The sequence below is a fragment of the Homo sapiens genome, chromosome 5, assembly GCF_000001405.40.
Source record: "Homo sapiens chromosome 5, GRCh38.p14 Primary Assembly".
Lineage (NCBI taxonomy): Eukaryota > Metazoa > Chordata > Mammalia > Primates > Hominidae > Homo > Homo sapiens.
In genome coordinates, this window is record NC_000005.10 from 105,098,166 (window position 1) to 105,100,298 (window position 2,133).

At 41.3% G+C, this 2,133-nt stretch overlaps 1 pseudogene across 1 annotated transcript; it reads left to right on the top strand.

Moving 5' to 3' along the window:
* The first annotated feature begins 1,308 nt into the window (after positions 1-1,308).
* RAB9BP1 (RAB9B, member RAS oncogene family pseudogene 1) lies at positions 1,309-1,933 on the top strand (annotated as a pseudogene). The gene has a single exon (NR_000039.2). The product of NR_000039.2 is annotated as an RAB9B, member RAS oncogene family pseudogene 1 (transcript).
* Positions 1,934-2,133: the final 200 nt, after the last annotated feature.

Below are 2,133 nucleotides of genomic sequence, written 5' to 3' on the forward strand. Positions count from 1 at the left end.
TAAACTTTTTTTTTTTTTTTTTTTGCCTAGGCTTTAGGTTCCTAACCACTGTATTCTGATTTTTATTTTGGGAGAATGGTGAGGGAGGAGAGGAGGCCAACTGTACTCTATATAAATTTGAAAATAAGCTTTTGTGGCAGGGCATGGTGGCTCACACCTGTAATCCCAGCACTTTGGGAGGCCGAGGTGGGAGAATCACCAGGTCAGGAATTCGATACCAGCCTGGCCAACATGGTGAAACTCCGTCTCTACTAAAAATACAAAATTAGCCGGGCATGGCATCACACGCCTGTAATCCCAGCTACTCAAGAGGCTGAGGCAGGAGAATCACTTGAACCCGGGGGGGCGGAGGTTGCAGTGAGCTGAGATCATGCCACTGCACTCCAGCCTGGGCAACAGAGTGAGACTCTGTCTCAGAAGAAAAAAAGAAAGAAAGAGAAAGAAAGAGAGAGAGAGAGAGAGAGAGAGAAAGGGAAAGAAAGAAAGAAAGAAAGAAAGAAAGAAAGAAAGAAAGAAAGAAAGAAAGAAAGAAAGTTAGTTCATGTTTTCTATTCTAGAACCCACCAGCAAAATCCAAGACTCAGAATTCTATGGAAGTAATTAGAAAGTTTTTTATGAGAGTTCTTCATTGTTAGCCCTTTCACTTGACACTCTTGTTCGAAAAATTAGCTACACTGTATCTATTTTCTATTCAATTTCTGATTTTCAAAAAGATGTTGAAATTTTTTTTATAATGTAACTTCTTCCATTTTCTTTATCCAAGGATGTAGTTTATTTTTATTATAATTAATATACCCATAGTAGTTTATATAGTTTGGGTATGTGTCCCTGACCACATCTCATGTTAAATTGTAATCCCCAGTGCTGGAAGTGGGCCTGGTAGGAGGTGATTAGCTCATGGGGGTGGGTTTCTTATGAATGGTTTAGCATCATCCCCTTGGGACTGTCTTCCCCATTGTTCGCAAGTTCTTGCAAGTTATTGTTGTTTAAAAGTGTGCGGCAGCCCATCCAAGCCAGGGGCCATGTTATTTCCTCTGCGCCTGATGGCAGCCGCTGGAGTCAGAGCCTGGCATCTCCACCACTTCCGCCTTCTGCTATGCAGGTCCCAACCCTCTCTCTGTTCTCATTGCACTCAGATGGGCCAGCCCAGAGCTCTGTATGGCCATGAGAAATTTCTTGCACTCCTATAATAAGCCGGCATTGTGATGGAATACTTTCTCCCTGTCATTTGAGTGAATCTTCTCAACAACACTAGGAGATAATGATGATTGAATTGAACAACTAAGAGTTCTGAAGCCAAAGCTCTTAACGGCAGGAAAATCATCACTTTTTAAAGTAATTCTCTTTGGAGATGGTGGAGTTGGAAAGAGTTATCTTATGCACAGATATGTAATTAATAAGTTTGATACCCAGCTCTTTCATACAATAGGTGTGGAATTTTTAAGTAAAGATTTGGAAGTGGATGGACATTTTGGTACCAAGTAGAATTGGGACACAGCAGGTCAGGAGTGATTCTGAAGCCTGAGGATGCCATTTTACAGAGGTTCTGACTGCTGCCTGCTTACTTTTAGTGTTGACAATTCCAAAGCTTCCAGAACTTAAGTAACTGGAAGAAAGAATTCTTATATTTCGCTGATGTGAAAGAACCCAAAAGCTTTCCTTTTGTAATTTTGGGTAACAAGACTGACAGTGAACAGCAGGTGTCTGCAGAAGAAGCCCAAGCCTGGTGCAGGGACGGCAGCGACTATCCTTAATTTGAAACAAGTGCAAAAGATGCCACAAATGTGGCAGTAGCATTTGAAAAGGGGGTTCCAAGAGTTCTTACTACCAGGGATAGGTCAGATCACTTGACTCAGAGAGTGATGGTCTGACTTCATCGAAACCATTGGTCAATCTTCATTGAAAGCCCAAGCCTAGCTCATCTTAATGTTGATTGTTAAAGACATTGTTGATGCATTCTAAACAACTCACAGGTACACACAAAATCAACATGGGGATGGAGAAGAGAATTAGCATTTGCAGCAGTGTATCATCTACTAATAAAATTAAACTAATGTATAGTGCTGCTTTTCAATAGTTGGTAGGAGAAGGAACACATCCACTCATGGAGGAGTCTGTTTACTGAATAATGGC